This window comes from Homo sapiens, chromosome 1, assembly GCF_000001405.40.
Source record: "Homo sapiens chromosome 1, GRCh38.p14 Primary Assembly".
Taxonomy (NCBI): Eukaryota; Metazoa; Chordata; class Mammalia; order Primates; family Hominidae; genus Homo; species Homo sapiens.
The window spans coordinates 53224374-53250217 of NC_000001.11; the positions used below are offsets into that span (position 1 = coordinate 53224374).

Here is a 25844-nt window from a genome sequence, read left to right on the forward strand (position 1 = left end):
CATTGGGAATGGTAACTACACAGACAAATGCAAAAGATTTTAACACTAATTGTGTGTAAACTACTCATATATTGAGTAGCAAGACTAAAAGATGAACCTATCAAAAATAATAACTTTTCAAAACATAGACAGTATAAGATATAAATAGGGGCCAGGCACGGTGGCTTATGCCCATAATCCCAGCACTTTGGGAGGCCGAGGCAGGTGGATCGCTTGAGCTCAGGAGTTCAGGGGCAACATGGTGAAACCACATCTCTACTAAAAATACAAAAAATTAGCCAGGCATGGTGGCATATGCCTATGGTCCCAGCTTTTCGGGAGCCTGAGATGGGAGGATCGCTTGAGCCTGGGAGGCGGAGGTTGCAATCAGCCAAGATCACACCACTAAACTCCAGCCTGGGTGACAGGGCAAGACCCTGTCTCAAAAAAAAAAAAAAAAAAAAATATATATATATATATAGATAGATAGACAGACAGACAGACAGACAGACAGACAGATAGGCTGGGCACAGTGGCTCACACCTGTAATTCTAGCACTTTGGGAGGCTGAGGTAGGACGACGGCTTCAGCACAGGAGTTTGAGACCAGCCAAACCCTGTTTTTTTCTTTTGTTTTTTTTTTTTTTTTTTGAGATGGAGTTTCATTCTTGTTGCCCAGGCTGGAGTGCAATGGCATGATCTCGGCTCACCGCAACCTCTGCCTCCCAGATTCAAGTGATTCTCCTGTCTCAGCCTCTCGAGTAGCTGAGATTACAGGCATGCACCACCATGCCAGGCTAATTTTGTATTTTTAGTAGAGATGGGGTTTCTCCATGTTGGTCAGGCTGGTCTCAAACTCCTGACCTCAGGTGATCCGCCTGCCTCGGCCTCCCAAAGTGCTGGGATTACAGGCGTGAGCCACCATGCCCGGTCTCTTTTTATTTTTTATTTTTTGAGATGGAGTTTTGCTTTTGTCGCCCAGGCTTGAGTGCAGTGGCGAAATCTCGGCTCACGGCAACCTCCAACTCCTGGGTTCGAGCGATTCTCCTGCCTCCGCCTCTCGAGTAGTTGGGATTACAGGCGTGCGCCACCACAGTCGACTAATTTTTTATTTTTAGTACAGATGAGGTTTCACCAGGTTGGCCAGGATGGTCTCGAACTCCTGACCTCAGGTGATCCACCCACCTCAGACTCCCAAAGTACTGGGATTACAGGGTGAGCCATTGCACCCGGCCAAGAATACTTTACTAAAGTTTTTTTTGCCTCAGAAAACAAAAGACTCTTTTATCACCTGAGGTCCCGTCACTTCTTTAAAGTTTAGAGTGACTTTTTTTGATGTCTACTTTACTACCAACTTGCTTCATTGCCCCAAGTACTCTTATAGGGGGAGGTGCACTGGAGTCAGGAACCCTGACATCTCAGTGCTGTTCTTAACTTGCCCCATAGTCTTTGAAGGAGTAGAGTGTGGTGGAAAAAGAATGGGTCCAGGAGTCAGGACACTTGGGACCTTGTCCCAAGCTGGCCTGTTTTTAGTAGGGTGAGTTTAGGCTAATCACTTCCCTTCAAATGAGGCTTAGTAAGGCCTGGTTCCTTTCAGCAGGTGCAATCTGTTCAACCAGTACTGTGCTTAAAGAAGCCATGCAATTTAGCAGAAAGAAAAAGTTGTCTACAGGTCTACCTGCTGAACAAATTCCCACACTATACAACTTGGTCTTGGTCCTGAATGGCTGTTGGTATTCTGATTTTAAAATGGATTAATGGAAAACTTTTCTGAGACCAAACATTTTATCCTGTTATCATGTAAGAAACCAAAGTATTTTCCCCTACACTGAAATACCTACTAAAACCTAAAATATTTGTATCTATAAAAGGTGATTTTAAAAACTCCAACCACCATACTATTTCATACCTAAACCATCAAACCAGTGTTAAATTTCCTTAATGGTATTAATTTTACTTTTTTTTTTTTTTTGACATGGGGTCTCGCTGTTGCCCAGGCTGAAGTGCAGTGGTACAAACTCTGCTCGCTGCAGCCTCTGCTCCAGGGTCCAAGCGATTTTCCTGCCTCAGCTTCCTGAGTAGCTGGGATTACAGGCTTATGCCACCACGCCCAGCTAATTTTTGTATTTCTAGTAGACAGGTTTTCACCATGTTAGCCAGGCAGGTCTTGGTGACCCGCCTGCCTCGGTCTCCCAAAGTGTTGGGATTACAGGTGTGAGCCACCACATCTGGCCCAATTTTACATTTTTTTGAATCATTATCCAAATAGGGTCCAAACATTGTGTTATGTGTCTCTTAAGTCTCCTTTATAAGCTCCCATTCTATCTGTTTCCCTTGTAATTTATTGAAGAAACCAGGTCATTTGCCTTGGAATTTCCTCTCAATATGGCTGATTGAAGTCCCACTGTATTTTTAAAACATGTTTCTGTATTCTCTTATTTCCTATAAAATCATAGGTATATCTAGAGAGTTGATTAGATTTGATTTTTGGGCAATACTTCACATAGAATGTTAGTGTTCTACAAAGTAATTGAGAAGAGTTCACATGTTCAGGTCTTTATAAAATAATAAAAATTGGATTTTATCACATATTTATTAAAGACAATCATTTATAGTTCATAAAAAAATACTGCCCTGATATACACAAAATTTTCTACTCCCACCCACCCCCCATGTCCACACCAATATTCAGTCTAGATTGGTTTAATCTTGAAGTGTAATCCAATAAGACTGAAGACCAAACACTTCAGGTCCTGGACAAGATAATAAAATACTCGTAAGCCTTCTGGATCCCTAAAATACAAAAGGAAAAAAGTTTAGGCATTAAAACTTTGACCCATCAAGTGTCCCTAAAAAGGAAAAGACTATATATTAAAACGGTATATTATGAGGTAATTTAAATATGCTGAGTTTTTAATATAGGGAAATGCTTACATTAAGTGAAAAAATATAATTAAAATAACAATTATTAATCTCAACTGTATTTTTTATGCTTCTTAAAAAGTATATATTGTATTAATGCATAGAATAAATGCATTAAAGACTAAAAAGAAATACTGCAAGATAGTAATAATGGTTGTCTGATTGATAAACTTGTGGATGATTTTCCCCTTTCTACTTTTCTACATTTCCTGTATTTTCTACAATGAGCATGTATTACTTTCAGAGTTAGAAAACTTTTTTTGTTTTGTTTTGTTTTGTTTTTTGAGACAGAGTTTTGCTCTTGTTGCCCAGGCTGGAGTGCAATGGCATGATCTTGGCTCACTGTAACCTCCGCCTCCCAGGTTCAAGAGATTCTCCTGCCTCAGCCTCCCGAGTAGCTAGGATTACAGGCATGCACCACGCCTGGCTAATTTTTTGTATTTTTAGTAGAGATGGGGTTTCTCCATGTTGGTTAGGCTGGTCTTGAACTCCCGACCTCAGGTGATCCGCCTGCCTCGGCCTCCCAAAGTGCTGGGATTACAGGTGTGAGCCACCACACCCGGCCCGAGTTAGGAAAACTTTTTTAAAAAGTAGTAGTACTAAGCAGGACCAAGAGGTTGAAGATTACTGTGGCATCACTGGCTAAGAAGAGTGTCCAAAGGAAGACAATTACGCCCAACATTTGCCAAAAGTGAGCCGTACCTAATCCTGAACCCTCAAAACGTAAGAGCCAAAGAAGTTGCCAAATTCTAAGGATTCTTTGTAGCACATAGGTTCATGCCTCAACTTGATAATCTGCCCCACTGACAACATGAATTTTAAAATCTTGATCCCTTTTCACCAAACCAATGCTTTTGTAAAAAACAATAAATTTAAGGCTGGGCGCGGTGGCTCACGCCTGTAATTCCAGCACTTTGGGAGGCCGAGGCAGGCGGATCATGAGGTCAGGAGTTCAAGACCAGCCTGGCCAACATGGTGAAACCCTGTCTCTACTAAAAATACAAAAAAATTAGCCGGGTGTGGTGGCAGGTGCCTGTAGTCCCAGCTACTCAGGAGGCTGAGGCAGGAGAATCACTTGAACTCAGGAGGCAGAGGTTGCAGTGAGCTGAGATTGCGCCACTGCACTCCAGTCCGGGTGACAGTGGGAGACTCCATCTCAAAATAATAATAATAATAAATTTATAATAAAATAAAACTTAGATCCTAAAAAATGTCAAGTTTCACTGAAGTCAGATTTTAAGATGTGCCAGTCTCAACAGTCACACTGAGAAAGCTATTCAGACTCGGTGACTCTACAGTTTATCATGAGCACTTTTTTGGCATATTCCATTTTTTCTTCTGGCTGCTCCTATGCATTAATCTATATGTGTGTGTCAACAAGAAGCTCGCAGTAGCAATGGCTGAATGAAACACCAAAAGTAATAGGAGCAAGTCCTCAAAAATAATTTGGGGTTCCTCCCTAACAAGAAGGACAAAGCTGCCCACCTGCATTTTGCATTTGCCCCAGCTCTTCCCATAATGGTCCCAATTTGGTTAAGGTTTCTTATCAATCTGCTCCAAAACAGACACAACTGGATATAAGGATCATGCACACTTACTTGGATTGATTGACATCAATAAGGGAACCAATTTTTGATGTTGTAAAAGAAATGTGTTCATCTCCAATGACGATTTCAAGCTCCTAGAAACATTTTAGAAAATCGAAGTCAAGTAGAATTGGATTATTCATCAAGCACACAGAAGGATTAATCATTTGCCAAATCACACAAACTTGACTACAGATGGCCACAAAAACAAGGGCAGTTCACTCTGAGCACTAAACTGTGCTGGGCACTAGAAACAAGAGATAAATACAGCTCATATTTAGAAGAAGTTGTACCCTTAAGGCCCTACCATTTCTCAGATTTGGAAAAATCTATGTAGGTTTTTTTTTTTTTTTTCCTGAGACAGAGTCTCACTCTGTTGCCCAGGCTGGAGTGCACTGGCATGATCTCGGCTCACTGCAACCTCCGCCTCCCAGGTTCAAGCGATTCTCCTGCCTCAGCTTCCTGAGTGGCTGGGACTACAGGTGCCCGCCACCACGCCCGGCTAATTTTTTTTGTATTTTTAGTAGAGACGGGGTTTCACCGTGTTAGCCAGGATGGATTTTTTTGTATTTTTAATAGAGACAGGGTTTCGCCATGTTGGCCAGGCTGGTCTCGAACTCCTGACCTCAGGTGATCCGCCTGCCTCAGCCTCTCAAGTGCTGGGATTATAGGTATAAGCCACTGCGCCCAGCCTATGTAGTATTTTGTATGAGTTTTCATTGTCAACAATGTGGAGTAACATGAATACACCTATGTTTTAAAAATACCAAACAATTGGACTGGGTGTGGTGACTCATACCTGTAATCCCAGCAGTTTGGGAGGCCAATGCAGGAGAATCACTTGAGCCCAGGAGTTTAAGACCTGTCTGGGCAACTTGGCTAAACCTCATCTGTACAAAAAATACGAAAACTAGCTGGGTGTGGTGGTGTGCATCCGTGGTCCCAGCTACTAGAGAGGCTGAGGTGGGAGGATTCCTTCACCCCAGGAGGTCAAGGCTGCAGTGAGCCATGATCTCATCACTGTACTCCAGCTTGGGCAACAGAGTGAGACCCTGTCTCCAACAACAACAAACAAAAACAAAAACCAAAGAATCTAATCTATCTAGGCAACTTCCAGACCTTAGGTTTGATCCCCACTTTGTCACTCCCTACATGTATGATGTTGGATCTCAATTTCCAAACAGTGACATGAGTACCATAACCTTCAAAAAGTATCTATGTGTAGCCTACTGGGTGCTGGCTATTGTTCTCAGTGCTTTGGACAGATAAGTAAAACCAAGCAAACCAAAGATCTCTGCCCTGTGGAATTCATATTCTTGTGAGGCCTATTTACTTTTTCTTCTTTTTGATTCATATATCCTTTTTGTTATAATTCAATCAGAAAATCGAAAAAACTGAGATGTTTCCAATACTCAGATTTATAAATTATTGCCATACTTGTGTCAGATTTTTTTTAAAAAAGAAGTAAAATATTACAAAGTTTATGTCCATCTCCCATTCTGTTCTCCCTCCTGTATCCCGATTTGTTCCACTCTTGTTTCAGATTTGGTAGTATGTTTTTACTTATTTCTTTTTAGATACAGGATCTCACTCTGTCACTGAAGCTGAAGTATAGTAGTAGGATCATAGCTCACTGTAACCCTGAGCTCCTGGGCTCATGCTATACTGCACCTTTAGCTTCTCGAATAGCTAGGACTACAGGTATGCGCCACCACGCCCAGTTAATTTTTAGGGTTTTTTTTTTTTTCTTTGTAGAAAAAAAGGTCTCACTGTGCTCAGGCTGGTCTTGAGCTCCTGGCCTCAAGTCATCCTCCCACCTTGGCCTCCCAATTAAGAACAAAAGTGCTGGGAATGCAGGCATGAGTCACTGCACCTGGCCTAGACGTGGTAGTGTGCTTTAAAATTTTTACAAAATGGTCTTATTATACATACTTTTTACATTTTTCATTCCACATTGTTTTCGAGATTTATCAATGTTGAGTTACACAGATCTAGCTCATTAGTTTTAAATGCTTGTGGTATTCCATTTCCCTACTGAAATAAACTTAAGTTTTAAATTTTTATTCCTATAAACAATGTAGCAAGAATATTCTTCTATACATCTCCTTGTACATGTGAATATGTCTCCATATAATTCCTAGTATTTTAAATGCTGCCAGATGCCACAAAATTACTCCCTAACGCGGTTATACTAATTTTATTCTCACTCTTTTCTCATATCATTTTTTAAATTCGGCAGATTTTTTTCTGTTTTTATTCTAATGGGTCTGAAATGGTATCTCACTGTTGTCCTTTCATTTTACAAATGAAGCCGTAAATCTTTTCATATTAGCCACTTGTTTGATCTTGTAAGTTATCTATTCATAACCTTTGCACATTCTGCCACGGGACAGTCTTTTTATTAATTTGTAATTCTTTATATATTCTGGATGGAGAACTCTTGCCAGTTTTATGTTTTGCAGATAACTTCTTCCAGTCTATGGCTTATCTTTCAACTTTATCTTGCCATCTTTTGTCAAACCTAAGTTGTAAAGAAGTCAAATTTACCAATCTTACCCCTTAAGGAGTTTTAAAAACTCCTTCTCTACCCAGAAATAATACAAGTCTATATTCTGTTTAAAATTTTTGATTTCTATGGCCTAATTTTAAAAATATTCCATAAATACATTGTCAGCTGTCCTGGTACAATTTGTTAAATAATTCGTTCTTTTCCCATTAATGTGAAAGTCCACCTCTGTAGCACACTTTTCTAAGTTTCCATATATTCATAGGTTGGTTTCTGGGCTCTCTATTCTGTTCCATTGGTTTAGCTGTCAATTCCCGAGGCAATATCATACTACAAATGACCACAGCTTTGTAAGAAATTTCCAGTATTATTTTGGCTACTCTTGCCTCTGATTTTCCATGAATTTAATGCTCATTCTATTTGATTCTAAAGGGAAAAAAATCCTACTGCGATTTTTATTTGAATTAAGAGTGAATTTATAAATTACTTTGTTGAAAACTGACATCTTTATGATACTGAATCTTGCCATCCACAAAAACGATACATATTTTTGTCCTTCTATAAAGCCCTTTCAAGTTTTGTACATCTTGTTAAATGCATTCCCAAGTTCTTTATAACTCTTCTTGCAATTATTAATGGAATTGATTTTAATTACAGTATCCAATGGCTTATTGCTGGTACAAAGGAATATGCCCTTCCCTCTTTACAGAATTGTTGTGATGGTAGAACGAGTTAATAGAAATAAAAATTTTATAAGTGGTAAAGCAAAATACATATATATGATATTACTGAGCTCCCTTGAACATAAATTAAAGTTAACTTTAGTAAGTACTGAGGGTGGATTTTTAAAAAAAACTCTTCAAGGGTTGGTCCATCATTTTGAGATTATTAGGAATGAGTTTATATGGGTTTTCATATTAATTTAACAAATACATTATTATTGAGCTTTTACTATACATGGGTACTATTTTAGTCACTAGAGATACAGCAGTGGAAAACACTGAAAAGCAAGTAAGACAATTTTAGACAATAGCAAGTGCTACAAAGACAACACATATTGTGATAAAACTGAAAGCAAAAAGAAAAAAAAACACAAAAAGACAACACAACAGATCTTTTTCTTAATGATGGGAAGCGACTTCTTAGATTGGATGGACAGGCAAGACATCACTGAGGAAGTGACTTTTGAAGACCTCAATAATAGAGACAGTCTTGTATAAAGTTAAAGGAAGAATATTTTAGGCGGAATGTGGCAAGTGCAAAGGCCCTGAAGTAAGAACCACCTAGGTATGTCTGAGGAACAGAAATGAAGCTAGTAAGGTTTGAACACCATGACAGATTGGAAGCCCGGTAAAAGATAAGGTGGGAGTTTGAATTTTAAGTACAGTGGGAAGCCATTGGAGTTTAAATCAGTGGAATACATAAGCAAATTTACGTTTTTAAAGATCAGACCAGTAGGATGCGGCGGCTTACGCCTGTAACCACAGCACTTTGGGAGGGTAAGGCAGGCGGATCACCTGAGGTCAGGAGTTTGAGACTAGCCTGGCCAACATGGTGAAACGCCATCTCTACTACAAATACAAAAATTAGCTGGGCATGGTGGAGGACGCCTGTAATCCCAGCTATTCGGGAGGCTGAGGCAGGAGAATCGCTTGAACCCAGGAGGCAGAGGTTACAGTGAGCTGAGATTATGCCACTGCACTCCAGCCTGGGCGACAGAGCGAGACTCCAACTCAAAAAAAAAATAATAAATAAATCACACTGGCTTTCAGGATGGAAAAATGGATGGTATGGAACAAGAGGAAAAACAAGGAAATCTATTAGAAGTCTGGATTAGGATGGTAGCAGTCAAGAGTGAAAATACCTTTTCTGTTAATTCAGTTCAATATGACAGTGGCTTTTATTTTTTAGTTACCAAAATGGTGCTCAGAATGAATATATACATTAATGTATATAAATATACATGAATTTAAATACATACACTGAATTATTTGTATGATTTTCCTTTCATTAGATTGTTGAAATAATTATGTTCTATTTCTCTTTGTATCTCCACAATGCTTTGTCCATAGTAGTTAGTAAGTGAGATAGGCAACAAAAGCTTTAAGTGGAGGAGGGAGTGTGGGGGGTCTTATTTGTAAGATTTCTGCACTACAGGATAATCAATAAAACACACCTGCCGGCCCACTCGGTCAGGAGGAGGCCACAATGCATCATCCTCTTTGGTAATTTCACTGTCGTCAATTATTCTCTTCAGTTCCTCCATCACGCTTTTATGTACATAAGCCTGAACGCAAGTTAAAAAACAAAATGTATGTTGTATCCTTAAGCAGTGCTTTGACTCAGATAGTGATGGAAGATAAAAATAACTGTTCCTGCAGACTTATTTCTGGCATCTCCTTAAGTGGGAAGACATTCATGCTCAACCTCGGCATGATGCAGGTGAGGGACACGGTCAGAAGTATCCAGTAACTGCACCTCAGTCCCCTATCTAGCTGTTACTACCTCCTGGTACATCCTGTTCACATGGCCCTTCTGCCTGCCCACATACCCAACTCACAACGAAACCCAAAACAGGTCTGTGAGTGCCCCCTGCCATGGTTTGAATGTTTTTGTCTCCTCCAAAAAAATCATACTGAAATTAATCCCCAAAGCAACAGTGTTAAGAGATAGGGCCTTTAGGAGGTGATCAGGCCTTGAGGGCAGAGGCCCCAGGGATAGATTAGTGCTTTAGGAGAGAGCTTAAGGGAACTAGCTGGCCCCTTTCTTGTTCTTTCACCATATGAGGACACAGCATTCATTCCTTCTGGAGGATGCAAAAACAAGGCACAGTTGTGGAAGCAGAGACTGGGCCCTCACTAGACACTGAACTTGCCAGCGCCTTGATCTTGGACTTTCCAGCCTCCAAAATTGTGAGAAATATATTTTTACTGCTTACAAATTACCCAGTCTCAGGCATTTTGTTGCAGCAAAAAAGAGACTGCGACACCCACATGCCCTGGTTATTCTTTTTTTTTTTTTTTTTTGAAACGGAGCCTTGCTCTGTCGCCCAGGCTGGAGTGCAGTGGTGCGATCTCGGCTCATTGCGAACTCTGCCTCCTGGGTTCATGCCATTCTCCTGCCTCAGCCTCCTAAGTAGCTGGGACTACAGGCACCCGCCACCATGCCTGGCTAATTTTTTTGTATTTTCAGTACAGACAGGGCTTCACCGTATTAGCCAGGATGGTCTCGATCTCCTGACCTCGTGATCCGCCCGCCTCGGCCTCCCAAAGTGCTGGGATTACAGGTGTGAGTCACCGCGCCCGGCCAGTTATTCTTAACTAGGTAATACACTCCTGAGGAGCAAAATGTATTTTAAAAGATATGCCTGTGTAAAAAAATAGTGAGGATATTGACATGTGTGAATAAGCATAAAATCAATAGCTAAAATAACAATATGAAAATATATGCTAAGACATTTTCAAAGGTGGCAAAGTGGTTAAAAGGAAAGAGTAGCTTTGATGAAGCCTTAATGATGTAGTAGAAATCACAGAACGGAGAATACAAACTTTACTGGGGCAGGATTGGGAATTCCTGCTGTATCTCTTACTAGCAGGGGTAACTCAGAACAAGCCTCATAATTAATACCTGGGCCTTTATTTTCTTATTTGTAAGGGGGCTATAATACCCTCCCCCATCACATGGGCTTACAATCAGGGTTAAATAAGATGCCACGCCTGACATCTAACATGCATTCAATGATGTCAACTGCTTTCCCATGCTCCCTTTCCCACTCAGATGTAAATTAAATAGCTCTTCATTGTGTACCATGTACACAGGGAATATAGAGCACTTTAAATAGAACATATTTAATTTTATGACAGCACTTGGGAGTGGGAGGTAGCTTTTATTATTCCTGTTTTTACAGGTGAAGAAACAGAGATTTATCAAGTTCAGCCAGGAACTTGCCCAAGGTCACATGGGGTAGTAAGCAGCAGACTCAGGGTTCAAACCAAGGTATGTCAAAGGTTACCAGTAATTGATTCCACAATGTAAAATAAAAAAATCCCAACTAAAAGATGATTTGGGAAATAATCCAGAAGCTGTCTACAGACATGTGTCTCTCTCCCTGTTCTTTATCTTTCAATACTACTAGAAACAATAAAAACAATGCAAGACAAAAAGCTGAAATGTAGCAAATGAAGGACTCTCAGAAGGCAGAAGGCTCATACCTCTTTTCTGATCATGACATCATTCTTGTAATTGCTGTTGTTGGCATATCTTAACTTCCCTGTGGGGGCAAAAAACAATTTCAACGTATAATAAAAACATATGAATAAAGCATCAATACCATGCCAAGGCATCAGCAGTTGCCCAAAATGTATCTAACTTGCTAAAAGTGTCTAACAGATTTATTATTTACTCTTAAGGTATTTCAACAATACTAGTCTTTTCAGTTCTTCACTTCAGGCTTAAACAGCCAAATATACAGCTGAAACTCAACTACTGCAAAAAGCAGCTCAGGTGGGGTATAAACACAGGCAGGCTCTTTTCTGACTTTGTCAAATCACATTTTTGCAGGTGAATGTCCTGAAAACAGGCCTAGTAACTGATAACTTACCGACACATAGGACCTCCTGAGGCTCAAATGAGCTGTGAAAACATTTTGAAAACTGTAGGATGCAGTTTACATATATTATCATGTGACTGTGCCATACTCTATTTCTGTGATGGAGAAGCTGCTGCTTTTATCACTGAGCACATTTGGTACACAAGACCCTTTGCCCATGTGTGCATCTGACAGATTAATGGTGGGGATGAGGAGAAGACAGAAGGAAATAGAAGACATGTAGACTAGAAGACATACATGTGAGATGAGCCCAGTGAATTTATTCCAACAGCCTCTGTGCTGTCTCTCTGCCTCAAGTTTCTTCACATTCAGTTCACTGTCCATACAGTGGACAAGGTGATGTGGTAACAGATCTATCAGATTAGGTTACTCTAATACTTTGATAAAGTCAATGGCTTTCCACTGCCTTCCTGGTAAAATCCAAACTCCTCAACATGGCATACAGCTAAGCTAAGCCCCTGCCTGCTTTTCCAGCCTCATTCCTGCCAATATTCTTCTCTCACACAGCTGAAGTCAAACTACTTGGTTTCTGCCTGAAACATCCCAAGCACTTTTTGGTTTTCAGCTTCTTTGCATGCTGTCTAAAATGCCTTCTTGACTCTTCTTCGTCTCCTAACCAATTCCTCACATCCCCTCCTCCCATCATTTTATGTAGGAAGCCTCCTCTGACCCTCAGGCTTGGTTAGGTGCACCCTTCTCTGCTGCGAGCCTCCTCTGTTTCTTTTTACCACAACACCTAATGTGCTGTTTTATCACTGCTTACAAATCTATCTCCCTCACAGTCGAGGCCTGTCAGATTCATCTTTGTGCCCCACTTAGTGGATGTCTTCTGTCATCTTTGATTGCTCTTTCCTTCACCACAGTGCCTCTGCCAACAAAATCCTATCAACGATCAAAGTCCAGTTGGTTCTGCCTCCAACAGTTTCCTAAATCTTTCTCTCCATTTCTACTATCTCTGTAGTCCCAACCAGTATCTTTTTTTTTTTTTTTTTTTGAGACAGAGTCTTGCTCTGTCACCCAGGCTGGGGTACAGTGGCACTATCTCAGCTTGCTGCAACCTCCGCCCCAGGTTCAAGAGATTCTCCTGTCTCAGCCTCCCGAGCAGCTGGGATTACAGGCGTCTGCCACCACACCCGGCTAATTTTTGTATTTTTAGTAGAGGCGGGGTTTCACCATGTTGGCCAGGCTGGTCTTGAACTCCTGACCTCAAGTGATCCGCATACCTCGGCCTCCCAAAGGGCTGAGATTACAGGCTTGAGCCACCGCGCCCGGCCCCCAACATCTTTCGTGTCTTGACAACTGCAACAGTCTCCTAATCAATAGCCCTGTTTCCACTCTTGCCCATTCCGCACCCAATAACCAGAATGCTTTTTCAAGAAGAGATCACATTTCTTCTCTGCTTAAAACCTTCCAAGCCCGGCCGGGCGCGGTGGCTCACACCTGTAATCCCAGCACTTTGGGACGCCGAGGCGGGCGTATCACCTGAGGTCAGGAGTTCGAGACCAGCCTGGCCAACATGGTGAAACTCCGTCTCTACTAAAAATACAAAATTAGCCGGGCGTGGTGGTGGGCGCCTATAATTCCAGCTACTCGGGAGGCTGAGGCAGGAGAATCACTTGAACCCGGGAGGCGGAGGTTGCAATAAGCCGAGATCGCGCCATTGCACTCCAGCCTGGGCAAAAAGAGCGAAAGCCGTCTCAAAAAAAAAAAAAAAAAAAAGGCCTTCCAAGTCCAAACTTTTTACCGTGGTCTATAAAGACCTAAGAGGTGCCGCTCCTACCTACCTATCCGACATCATCTCCTGCTATCTCCCAGCTCACCACTCTTCAACCACACTGACCACCTGAGACACGCCTAGCTCATTCCCGCCCTGCAGCCTTGACATCTGGTATTCCCTTTGTGTAGAATGGTCTTCCTTATGAGCTTCACAAGGCTGAGCCCTTCTTGTTAATTAGGACTCGGCTGCAATATACCCTTTACAGAGAGCTCTCTAATGGCCAACCTATCTAAAAGCAGCCCATCCAGCAATTATTCTACCATGTTATTTTTTGACCACTCACTGCTATCTGGAATCATCTTTTTGTTTATGATCTCTCTCCCGGCAGTAAAACACAAGTTCCACGAGAGGGGAAGTTTGTCTACCTTCGCTGCCGTATTCCCAAAGAGTGGAACAGAGCCTGGCACACAGTGGGCGTTCAGTCAACGTTTGCTGAATGGATAGAAAGACCCCGTGGAGCAGACACAGTGGCGTTCCTTTAAGATCTGCACTGCACAGGTCTCAGTCCCTCCCTCCTCTAGTTCCCCACAGATTTCCGACCCTCGGCCTCCCCACTCGCCGGCCCCCAGGCCTGGTCCCCGCTCCCGGCGGGCGGCAGGCTGCTTTTACCGTCCGGTCGAAACTCAAACTCCAGGAACTCGTGGCCGAACTTGCCCTTGTGCCCCACGTAGTAACGCAGATAAAAGTCACTCTCCATGGCTCCCAAAAGACAACCGAGCCTGAACTTCCAAGAGCAAGCCGCACTGCCGCCGTCTGCGCCCGACACTGACGTTTGCGGCGGCGCGCGGAAGTGACGTCAGGTCCCGTCGTCGCTGCGTGGAGGGGTTCCTTCTCGCTAACCTCTTCGCCCGGAAGTGGCAACAAGACTGCAACATCCCCTCACGCCTAGTCTGTAAAGAACTTTGTTTAACCCGGAGGCGGGGCCAGCCAGCTCCGCCCCTCCAGCTGGACGCGGGAGCGAGGTTGAGGTTCATACCCCTGGGTTCTCTCCAGGCCTGAGGCGGAGAGCCAGCCGCCTGCCTACCTCTGGGCTTTGAACCCCGGGTCTGGTGACTTCGCTTAAAGACCTCGGGCCGAAGGCCCGCCAGGCTCAACCTCGGTTCACAGGACCCCCGACTTGTGTGAGTCGTACACCGCTCTTTACCGTCTCTGGACCTAGGTCATCTCGGCAGTAAAATGGGGTGAAATGACCCGACCTCCCCGGAGGATGCCGCGCACGATGTGTGCCTCAAGTTGGCTTCCACTGACCTGAACTGTTAAGAAAGCCCTCCTCAGTGACGCCTTCCCTGAATCCACAGTGGAGATTGCCGTTTTCCTGGAACTAATTCACCCACACTTACCCATTTCATCCCTTTCCACCTTTTATTTCTACCTTTCTGCCCCACTGATCTCTAGAATAGGTGCTGGGAGACGTTAGAGTATTTGATCTCCCACTCCCCAGTCATCCCACTTACCGAGCAGTAATTCTCTGCCTGGCTGCACATTGCAATCACTTGGGAAGCCTCTAAAAATACTGATGCCAGGGCTCTACCCCAAGCCAGTTAAAATCTCCAGCGCTGGACCTGGGCATTGGTACTTTTTGTAAAGCTTTCAGGTGAGTCAGAGTTGAGGACCACTGACCAAAGAGGTCCTTTCTTTTCAGGGTAAAGTTGTCCTCTGTGAAGCCTTTCTGGCTCTGGAAAAAATTTACAGTTGAGTAGGCCCAGGGCAATCAAGATCATAATTATGTAATAGGAACCTGCTTTCACTCATCTAAGTTCCAGGCTTAGAAAGAATGAATGGTTCTAGAGACAGTGCCGAGATGACATCATTCTTGGGTCCTGGCGGCTAGAACTGTATACGATTCTGTAAGTTGGGACAGCAGTCTCTGATTCCTATTCCCAGTCTTTTCTTTTTGAGACGGAGTTTCGCTCTTGTTGCCCAGGCTGGAGTGCAATGGAGTGATCTCAGTTCACCGCAACCTCGCCTACCTAATTTTTAAACTTTTTGTAGAGGCAAAGTCTCCCTATGTTGCCCACGCTGGTCTCAAACTCCTGGGTTCAAGTGATTCTCCTGCCTTAGCCTCCCAAGTAGCTGGGATTACAGGCATGCGCCACCATGTCCAGCTAATTTTTGTAATTTTCTGTTTTTAGTAGAGACGGGGTTTCACCATGTTGGCCAGGCTGGTCTCGAACTCCCGACCTCAGGCGATCCGTCTGCCTCGGCCTCCCAAAGTGCTGGGATTACAGGCATGAGCCACCGCGCCCGGCCCTCAGTCTTAACACGGAGTCCTTTTCTCCCTGCAAAAGCATTAGCAGCAGAGTGTAGAGTAGGTGTGGTGGGGGAAAAATCACTGGACACAGGTTAAAATAATCCCTGTGTAACAATGACTCATTGTAACCAAAGGTGAACCGACTCAACTTTTTAGACTTCAGTTTCCTTCTCTTTAAAATGAGCATAATAATGTACACCTAGCAGAACTGTTGTAAGAAACAATGTCTCGGAAACTAAATTGCTGTAAAACCATAAGACATTTTTATTACAAAACACTGGATATGGGTGGTAACAAGGGAATTGTATAAACGAGAAGGGGGCTAGACACAGTGGCTCATACCTGTAGTCCCAGCACTTTGGGAGGCTGAGGCAGGAGGATCACTTGAGCCCAGGAGTTTGAGACCAGCCTGGGCAACATAGGAGACTGTCTCTACAAAAAATTTAAAAAATAGGTAGGTGTGGTGGTGCACACCTGTAGTCCTAGCTACTTGGGAGGCTGAGGTAGGAGGATAATTTGAGCCTGGGAGGTCGAGGCTGTAGGGAACCATGATCACACCATTACACTCCAGCCTGGGTGACAAAGCAAGACCCTGTCTCAAAAAAAAAAAAAAAGAGAAAAAAAGAAAAGGGACCAGGTATCAAGCACCTAATAAATGTCAGCCCCTAGGGTCAATGGGATTACCTGTGCTTGTTCTTTGAATCATCACAACAATCTTGAGGTGGTAATTAGAGTTAAGTATGTAGAGGGATTAAGCAATTGCTACAAGGTTATTTTCCAGGAGTAAAATTATAAAAATCATAAGTGAATCTGGGGATCTTCAGATGTGGCAAATAACAAAAGTGTTGAGAAATTTAAAGGACACACAACTCCAGTCAGGCTGTGAAGTAATCCAGGTTTCTGGATATGAGACATGGTGTAACTGAAAGAGCATGGTCTGTGTGTCTGCAGTGCCTGCATTCAGCATCATTTATTTGAGCATCCACTGAGTGTCATGTGCAGAGAGGATACAATGTTGAGCAAGACAGTTGTTCACAGAGCTTGCAGAGGAGGCAGTTAAGGAGCATACAAGCAATTACAATGTAAGGATAAGATTACCAATAAAGGAAGCACAGAGGACTATGGAAGCACATGAGGTGACTCCTAATCCAGTGCAGGGTCCTTAGGGAAATGTTCCTGAAGGAAATGTTCCAGACGGAGGCCCAGAACTGTGTGATTAGAATATAGAGTAGTGAGTGATGAAGCTGGAGACAGGGCAGAAGCCAAATCATGAAGGGTTTTATAAGCCATATTAAAAGAGTTTGGGCAAACCCAAGAATATTGGATTTTTGTGCCAGCAAAGCAGTTGAAGAGCTTTAAGCAGGAAAGTGGAAAGAAGTGGTGGTGATACATCTATGGTACTTTAGAAAGACACTTTGGCTGCAGTCTTGTAGGTTAGATTGGAAAATGAAAAGACTAGAAGTATGACATTCAGATAAGTAGTTTAAGTAATCTATTAGCTGGGCAGGGTGGCGTGCACCTGTAGCCCCAGCTACTCGGGAGGCTGAGACAGGAGAATTGCTTGAGCCCAGGAGGCGGAGGTTGCAATGAGCTATGATCCTACCACTGTACTCCAGCCTGGGTAACAGAGTACGACCCTGTCTCTTAAAAAAAAAAAAAAAAAAAAGTAATGGAGATAGAAAAGTGGATGGATTTGAGATGGAATACCATAATTTAAGGGGTAGGCAAAGGATACTAAGATGTGGCCAGAGAGATAGGAGAAAAAACATGAAATGTTATCATGGAAGCCAAAATAAGAATATGCCAAGAAAAGAGTGGCTAACAGTGTTAACTACTGCTTCCAGGTCAAGGAAGAGCAAGACTGAAAATGTTTACCAGATTTATAATCGAGGAGGTCCTGGATGACCTTGGCAAAAGCAACCCCAATGGCATGGGAATGAATGGTAAGGCAGAAGTATTGGGATGCAAGTAGGCAAAAATTGTTATCGAAGTACAGAGGTGAGTTATCTAACCTAGTCTTAGAGAAAAGGGAAGGCTTCCTGGAGGAGGCATTACCTAAGTGGAGTACTCAAGGACAAATAGGAGTTAGTCATGTGGAGGCAGAGAAGGAAAATTTAGGCAGAGAATGCTACATGTACAATTGCTCTTTGGGGGCACTAAAAATAACCTTGTGACTTTGGGCAGTTACTTTGCCCATTTTCTCATCTATAAAATGGGAGTGGATAGTATTGATAGTATTTATCTCACCGAATTGTTGACAAAGATTGGGATAATTTATATAGAATACTGGTACACATTAGGGACTCAGTAATAGTTCACTCCCCCTCATTAAAGTATTACAATGAAACAAAACTTAAAAGATTTTTTTTAAATGAATTTAATCTCTCTCTAGAAACAGTGCACTGATTTTACAAATGTCCACATTTGGTTTTCAGTTTACCAAGATGATGCCAGTATAGCTAGTGAGATGCAGCACCCCATCCTCAGCCCCCTCGCCTCTGGAAGAGACACCAGACTGCAAAGGGCACCGCGTACAGAAGCTAACGGAACTTGAATGACAAGACAAAAAGAGCAGAATCAGTTAGTGTGACACAACATTCTAACATGCCTGATTCTTACATCAAATATGGTAACTTTGGGGTTGGTAGGGGGAGACAAACAAGGAGAATCCACTTGGGAACAATTTGATGAAGTTTGCAAATCAGCACTTTACCCCCAAATTAACAACAGCTTGTATGGAAAAAAAAATGCTCTTTTAAAAGTATATGGTTTGGACAGGTATATTTGTTTTCTCTTGTAGTTTTTGTAAAAAAGTATCAAAACCTTGGCTTTAAATATATATATATATATATATATACACACACACACACGTGGCTTTTTAAAAATTACTTTTTTATAGCACAAAGTGTTTGTAAATGCAGAGGGTTTCTGCTAATTCTTGACTGTGCACATGGTGCATAGCCTGAATGAACAGAGCTTCCTGATTTTTTTTTAACTGAAAAATTGAAGCAGTAATTCTTTAACCTTCTAAATTCTCCATACCCTAAAAATACAGTGTGAGAAGTCTGTTACTCTATCTTCATGCATTTCGGGAAAAGGAATTATTTACTCTGAAACATTTAATGCTAACTCATTTATATTTTGTGAAACGATGAGTGTATGGCTGGAGTTCGGGGGGTAGGGTGGAGAGGCTTGCATTCCTGTGCCATTTCCCCATTCCCACCAGTGCCCAACTGGACAGTGATTAGTATCCCCTCTCCAGACTCAACGTCTTCAACATTTTCGTTTTTCTTTCTCACAGTTGAGAAAATCTAAGAGGCTCTCGACAACATGGCATGCATCTGTGAAAATCCCACTGCCCTTATATTAGTCTTCATTGACCATATAAAAAATCTTTGACTCAAATATATGAAAAGCAGTCAGCATTTCCCTTTGGCCACTGGAAAGCTTGAGGCTGAATAATATCAGTTCTGCAAAGTGCTGGCAATGCATCCTAATGAATTTTCCATGATGCATGTAGTGCCTTGTACACAATGATCAAGAAATGCTTCATTGAATCAGAAATTAATCTATTTTATAAAGTGCTTACATTGAATCTCTTTCCATACAGCCTCATTTCTTGCCCCCCTTGAGCCTTTTGTTCCTGTTAGAATGAACTGTGCAATTCCTAAAGTCCCTGTGCTCTTTCATACCTCTGTGTTTTAGCTCGATGTGTCTCTGTCTGAAGCAGCTTGGAATCCCCTTCTTAATTTTTAAGACTTAAGGTCACTTCTATGATGACCCTATTCCTCATTTCTTAGGTGGAAAGACCCCTCTCTCCTTTGAGCCCTAACAGTGCTCTGAATAGAATCAATGCCTTTTTTGTTTCCACATATATCATCCTCCACTGCTACTGTGAACTCTGTAAAGTCAGAACATGTGTGACTGACCTTTACATCTGCAGTGCCAGGTGTGTAGTTGGTATCTAGTGAGTGGTTTTAGTGAATGAATATACTGCAGTCATACTGAGATAACTGGAGGGATCAATAGGACTTACTGCCATACATTTAAATCCGATCTCATTCTCTTTTTGCCAGTTAACAGGTTACTTCAATCTGTTTTATAAATAATCTGTGTATCAAGAGTAAATAAGTACAGTTTCGTTTTCTCTGTTTCTAGAAGGCATTTCAGTTAGTGCCTTTGTAATTCCACTGGAGGAAAGGTAGACCATAGTATAGGTAGCAGGTTTGATACAATGTTCAGGCAGCCCAAAATAGTCTTCCTGCAGAAGGAAATGGAGGAAACGCACTGGGACTGGCTTCTGATAAATTTTCTGCCCCCTTGGCATTGTCTCTGAGCTTCCTTCCAGCTCTATAGTCCAGTGACTCTGTGATCTGTGATTGGCTGTAGATAGCTATGCACGGGGGCAAAAGGCAAAAGATATGTAACTGTACCTCAAAATGAGGCTGAAAAGCCTCTATGAATGGGGGAAGGTGGATCTGACTCCTCAGGTTTCATCTTATTTACTGCCGTCCAACACATGAATATATCACAATTTGTTTCTTGTAAAGGGTTGCTCCCATTGCTGCCTCTTTCAAACTGCAGTTGTAGCATATGCAGGAAACATGAATGTCTCTGAGAAAAAGTTGTGAATTTCATTGTCATTTTGAGATCTCAGGCTGTATGTCCAGACCCCATTCATCATTTTTTTCTGTGAATGCCAGGATCTTACTGAAAGTTTAGAAACTATGCCTTAGCCACTGTTATCATTTAATTCCTTGGAAAATTCAGTTTCTTTGGAAGGTTACAGAAAAAGTCACTTGTTTTGAGTACATTTCCATGTTTTTCACTGTCATCATTTTTCTTCAGTCAAAAATAATTTTACTTTCCGTTCTTAAAAGAATAGTAATATGTGAGTAAGCTCCATAGGAGTTGGCCACCTGTTCTTAAAATTCTGTTTGGTATTGGTCATTCTAGGTCAACTGCATTTACCCTCTCAATGAATGTTTCAGGACTATCAACACATGCATGTCATGAGGAGATTGCTGGATTATGCAAAACACACTGCCCAAGCTCCAGAATATAGTTATTTTCTTAGAGTTTAGGAGGCCAAGAGTGACACAGAGGAAGGTCCTAGGTACAGGATGCTAGAACTCCAGAATGTCTGACTGAAAATTCAAAGGGTATCAAGCTGGTGAGACATCCAACTTCATTGAGTTGGGGGCATCTGGCAGGTAGGGATGGGAAGGCATTTGCTTAAGTGTGTCAAGTTCCAGGTATGATGAGATTAGATGCAGCTCCTCTGCTCCTACTTAAGTCAAACACTTCCATGTTGCACCTTGTCCCTGGTTGTCTAGTGGGAGTAAGTGGCAGAACAGCAGAGTTAAGAAACTCAAACTCTTTCTCTTTGGATGGGAAAGCCACTGGGGACTGAATCCTTCTGGGACTATAGGATTATGTTTCCAATGGGAGACCCCACAAGTAGAAAAGAGCACTTCTCCCTTCCTCCCCCAAGGCCAAGAAAAGCAAAGAAGATGTCTATAATGAAGAACATCTATACATATACCCGGAGTTTTTCCTTTTATTTACAAAGCAGTAAACCAAATTCCTGTGTGAACATAAATATCCAATATAATATAATATTGCGTATGCCATTTCCCCCCTCAAATATGACTTCAATTTTGGCCAGTTGTTCTGACTTAAGCCAAAAATTAGTTTCATCTATATGAACATATGATGGTAAGTAACCTATTTATTACCTTAAAATGTTTCCCCACATAAAGGAAATGGTAGAGAGTAAGGGGAAAAGAGAAATAAGAGATGTGATAAAACCTATTCCACCATCTTTATCTTCATCCACAGCATGTCCTAGACATTCAGTGCCTGGGCCAGTCTCTATAGTAAACTTGGGCTGATCTGGAAACGTCTCCACTTAGCTCTGTAAGGATGGCACCCTTCAGGGTGCTTCAGAGGAAACTTACTGAATTCAACCCAAGTGTCCTGAAAGAAATTGAAGAAGTTACTCAAAGAGCTGAACTTTAAAACAAGGAGTAGCTGAGGGTGAGGCATATCCTATCTTGAGTTTCTGAGCACTCTGGTACCATGGAATGTCTGTACACTGACCTTCGCCAAAGCCAAGAAAGCCCTGGTAGGAGTCACAGCAGCCATGGGTGAGCTGAAAGGCTTTTCCTGACTTCCTGGGGTCTCAGGAATAGCCAGAGGTGAAAAGATTTGCCTTTTTTACTACATAATTGCACAAACCATGGTATCTATTTTCTGATCCAGATTTCCAAAGGCTTTTCTGAAAACTACAAGATATACCCCTTGTGGACTGTGTGAAAATAAATTTATCTTTATGTATTTGAACAGTAGCCATAGATGTGCCTCTTCTCTACAGATTTTTCTGTCACACACATACACATATAAACACACACATACACACACAGAGTCTGTGTGGTGGGCCAAACATGCCAAAAATAAATACTCTCACTTCTCTAAATTATTTATAGAACTCATCTGATTTTTAAAATATGTTAATAAATAATCTAAATGGGGGAGGGAGTTGAAGTGTTTTTTTTTTTTTTTTACTTATGTTGATGGATAGCCACAAAGCATAATCATCTTATTTACAAAAAACAAATGCCCCAAAACCTAAAAAAGCCCCCCCAGCAACCAAACATCTTCTGTAAATATAGTTTTTAAATGATGAGTAAGGTACTGTGCCATTGGCCCCCATTTGGTTATGTGCATCATGTTAGTCAGCAGTAGCCATTCCACGAATTCCTCATGGGTAGTGCAACCAGTTAAAAAGTGTATAAAACATTATACATAGAAAAACTCTCACATCCTTTGGATGTTTGCAGTTCATCATAACTTTGTGGTTACCTTTCCGCAACATAAATTTAAAAAAAAAATCACACACACACATACACTCACACAGACCCATATATAGAAACCCATTCATCCAGTCATACACCATCCAGAGTGTAGTGCATGGGACTGAATTCCATGAGGCACGAAGGGGGTGATCCCATCCTCAGGGTAGTCCATCATCTTCAAGGCTTAATGCCACTCGCTGGGGAGACAAACCAAAGAATTCATCATTAGATCCATAAGAGTTACTATTTATTTAGTATTGACAAATCACAGACTTACGTTACTTTAACAGGTATTAGCTCACATAATGTTCAAACTATCCTAAGAGACAGGATTTATCCTATTTATTTTACAGATGAGAAACAAAACTCAATGAGCTTAAGTAGGGTTTGTTCTGGATCACATAGCAAGTGGCTGAACTAAAATTTGATCCCAGGTCTGTATGAATCCAAAGCTGTAGATTTTTTCATCATTCTGTTTTGTATCTTTGTAAAGAAGAGTTGCACAGATCTAAATTTTCTTAATCCTCCCTTATAGGATTTTAGGTTTGGTCAATTTCAGTGGGTTAGCTTTGGCAAATGTTAAATTTCAGGCTATGGGGTTACTTGTCTCTAGCATGCTAATCACATTTAGAAAGGTAATATACTGCACCTTCCCAACAGATTAAACACAGTTGGGAGGCAATGCAGGTTAATTAAATTCCATCCCTCTCTCCCTCACCCCTGCTTTCCAGTCATTAGGTAGATGCTAGACTCCTGTCTGCCAAAAATGGCTGACCATGGGAAGGTGAGCCCACTAACCCCTGAACCAGTCTATTCCATTGTGGACAACAGATTTAAATTCTTTCCTATATTAATGTGAAATTTGTTTGTTTATATCTTCTGACATTCCCTGATTCCATCTCAGACTCAGAGACAGTTCTACATAGGACAACCCTTGAAATTTATAGATGGTGTTTGAATTCCCTTCCGTTCATTCTGAGTGTTTTCTTCTCCAGGGTACACATCTAACTTTCCCCAGCTAGTCCTGATGTAATCTTGTTTGCCTCTTTTCCATTTCCCAGATACCCTCCTTTGGAAAGACCCTCCCCAGCTTCAGTACTTTTCCTCATAGTTATGTGAATTTGGGCCAGCCACTTTACTTCTCTGAGACTTAGTTTTATCATCTATCAAATGGGAATAGTAACAGGACCTACCTCACAGGGTTGTTGAGGAATCAAATGAGATAATGCACAGAGAGTGTTTAACATAGTACCTAACAACACATAGGGCCCAGAATATCCTAGGTCAACGTAACCAACATAAAATAGAATCAGACTAGTATCTCCCATCTCTGGACATTCTACATATGATAAAAAGTAACTCTACTGCCTTTCAAGTCATCTTTGGGTTATCTGTAGTTTTTTTATGAATGCAATGGCCATCCTCCACCAGTGTAGATATTTAAGACTATCTTATTCTAGTCTAGCTACCCTCCCACTCTCTCTAAGACAGATCTCTAGGCCAAAGATAGGCCCCAGTAGTGATGGTACAGTTATCCGAGAAATGGACAGAGGAGAGACAGGTTGTTGAGAATATTGATTTCCAGAGCTTCAAGGCTATTTACCTCACGATATAAAGGAAAGAGCATGGGCTTTTGTGTATATACAGACTGGAGTTTGAATTCTGGTTCTGCCACTTCCTGGCTATGACCTTAGGCAAGTTATTCAATTTCTATGAGTCTCAGTTTCCTCATCTGCAAAATGGGGCGAATAATATCAGCTTGATAAGGTTATTATGAAGATTAAATGAGAAAATATATGTAAAACACTGGGAACAGTGTCTGACACACAGTAGGTGCTCACTAAATGTTGATTTCCTTATTTCTCTGCAACTGGCAGAAGCTTATTACTTGGTCCTTAACACTCATCGGGAGTAACTCCCCCTGAGTCATTTCTTTCTCTGGAAATAATGTCACTTTACATGTGCAGAGTGCTTTGTAAGTCACAAAGTGCTCTCACACGTGCTATCTCACTTGTACTTTATAAACTCAGGAGGCAGGTAGAATGGGGGTTGTTATTCTCATTTTACAAATAACAGTGAGCAGAAAGAAGTGACTGAGATCACAGGGCAGTGGAAGGATGGAACTGGGAGTTTTCTTATTCCAAGTTCAGTGCTTCTTCCACTGTGCTCCCTCTGATCTTCAAAAACTGGTCAAGCAACTATTTTTTTGGACTGGCCGAGGTTAAGGATCCTCAAGGCCATCTGCTAACCCTCCTCATTTGCTCCATCTCATTTCCCATGTCTCCCCTTCATGAACAGTTTGCCTCAGCAGCAATTCTGTCTGCCCTGCCCCAAACTTGATTGCTTTCTTCCACATGCCATTCATTGGTCTGTGACTAACCCATTTTTCTTCTTTGCCCCAACACCCAGCTTACAATTTGCAGCCTTCCCAAACCAGAAAGCCTTCTAGGATTGGCTGCGCCTGCCTTGGTTCATGCCCTCACTCACCAGCCCCTCAGACTTAGAGTGGCACTGCCCTACCTTGGATTTGACGACAGGCAGCTCGGAAAGAGGGTTCTTCGGGAGTTGGTGCAGCTGTGACCTTGGTTCCCCCGGCAAGACAAAAAGCTCCTTGAGGGCAGGGGCTGGGTCTTCCGGTTCTCTGGTCTCCCCAAGACAGGGCTCTGCCCACAGTGGGCGATCAAAGCTGCTGATTGCCTGACAGGGGGATGGCACTGTGGATGACCTCTGAGGTCACACTCAGCCCCCTGACTGTGCTGTATAACAGTGACACCTGCTGTGCCACTTTGTGGTCCTCATTCCCCCAAAAAGCCATGCTGTGTTGTACCTTCAAGCCTTTGCACATGCCTCTATCTGGAATGCCATTTCCCTCCTTCTCTCCCGGGAAAACTGCTATTAATCTTTCAAGGACATAGTCCATCTGTCACCTTCTCTGTGAGGCATTCCTTGCCTGATTCCCCAGACAGAATTAATAGCTCCCTTGTTGATGTTTCCATGGCATCTGTTCAACAAATATTTGTTGGGAGTCAGCCATGCCGTGCTAGGCATCAGGAAAACAGATTAATCAGACAGTTCTGCCCTCAAGGATCTTATGGGTTAGTGAGGAGACCACTGAGTAAAAGACAAGTGGACTACAGTGTGACAGGGGCTGTGAGGTAGAGAGGCCCAGAGTACTGTGGGAGAACAAAGCAAGCCAAAGATAGCTTTCTAGAAGAGGGGACTCCTGAGCTTCCACCACGGCATTCAGCACACAATTATACCACTGTATGTTAGTATCTCTAACTCCCTACCAGCTTCTTGGGAGCAAGCATGTTCCTTATTGACTTTTGAATACTTGATATCTAATGTGGTGCTTGGC

At 42.1% G+C, this 25844-nt stretch overlaps 2 protein-coding genes and 1 long non-coding RNA gene across 6 annotated transcripts in view, besides 3 other annotated features; 1 reads left to right on the forward strand and 2 right to left on the reverse strand.

The window, feature by feature from the left end:
- Nucleotides 1–2526: 2526 nt before the first annotated feature.
- On the reverse strand, nucleotides 2527–14145 carry MAGOH (mago homolog, exon junction complex subunit). The gene is made up of 5 exons (NM_002370.4): nucleotides 13988–14145; nucleotides 11204–11262; nucleotides 9169–9279; nucleotides 4499–4581; nucleotides 2527–2771 (listed from the first exon to the last, which is right to left on the reverse strand). Exons 1-5 carry the CDS (start codon nucleotides 14073–14075, stop codon nucleotides 2672–2674), a joined length of 441 nt encoding a protein of 146 aa, NP_002361.1. The 5' UTR covers nucleotides 14076–14145; the 3' UTR covers nucleotides 2527–2671.
- Nucleotides 13798–14439: an enhancer, noted in NCBI's record as "H3K27ac hESC enhancer chr1:53703843-53704484 (GRCh37/hg19 assembly coordinates)". NCBI's record gives its function as "activates a minimal SCP1, AML or CMV promoter by ChIP-STARR-seq in naive H9 embryonic stem cells {active_cell/tissue: H9 hESC(naive)}" and the evidence as "EXISTENCE:reporter gene assay evidence [ECO:0000049][PMID:30033119]".
- Nucleotides 13927–13986: an enhancer, noted in NCBI's record as "active region_1042". NCBI's record gives its function as "activates an Ori minimal core promoter by ATAC-STARR-seq in GM12878 lymphoblastoid cells {active_cell/tissue: GM12878}" and the evidence as "EXISTENCE:reporter gene assay evidence [ECO:0000049][PMID:35858748]".
- Nucleotides 14027–14156: an enhancer, noted in NCBI's record as "active region_1043". NCBI's record gives its function as "activates an Ori minimal core promoter by ATAC-STARR-seq in GM12878 lymphoblastoid cells {active_cell/tissue: GM12878}" and the evidence as "EXISTENCE:reporter gene assay evidence [ECO:0000049][PMID:35858748]".
- MAGOH-DT (MAGOH divergent transcript) lies at nucleotides 14237–18410 on the forward strand. Its single transcript, NR_038953.1, has 3 exons — nucleotides 14237–14972; nucleotides 17474–17572; nucleotides 18065–18410. It is a non-coding gene; the product is annotated as an MAGOH divergent transcript (long non-coding RNA).
- Nucleotides 17991–25844, reverse strand: part of LRP8 (LDL receptor related protein 8) — an 85707-nt gene continuing 77853 nt past the window's right edge. For 2 of the 4 annotated variants that reach the window (NM_033300.4, NM_004631.5), the window contains 2 exons: nucleotides 25007–25183; nucleotides 17991–22683 (listed from right to left, as the gene is read on the reverse strand). In NM_033300.4, coding sequence (NP_150643.2) covers nucleotides 22645–22683; nucleotides 25007–25183 — 216 coding nt within the window. In that variant the 3' untranslated portion in view covers nucleotides 17991–22644. The remainder of the gene's footprint in view (nucleotides 22684–25006; nucleotides 25184–25844) is intronic. The other 2 variants (NM_017522.5, NM_001018054.3) reach the window with 1 other exon arrangement.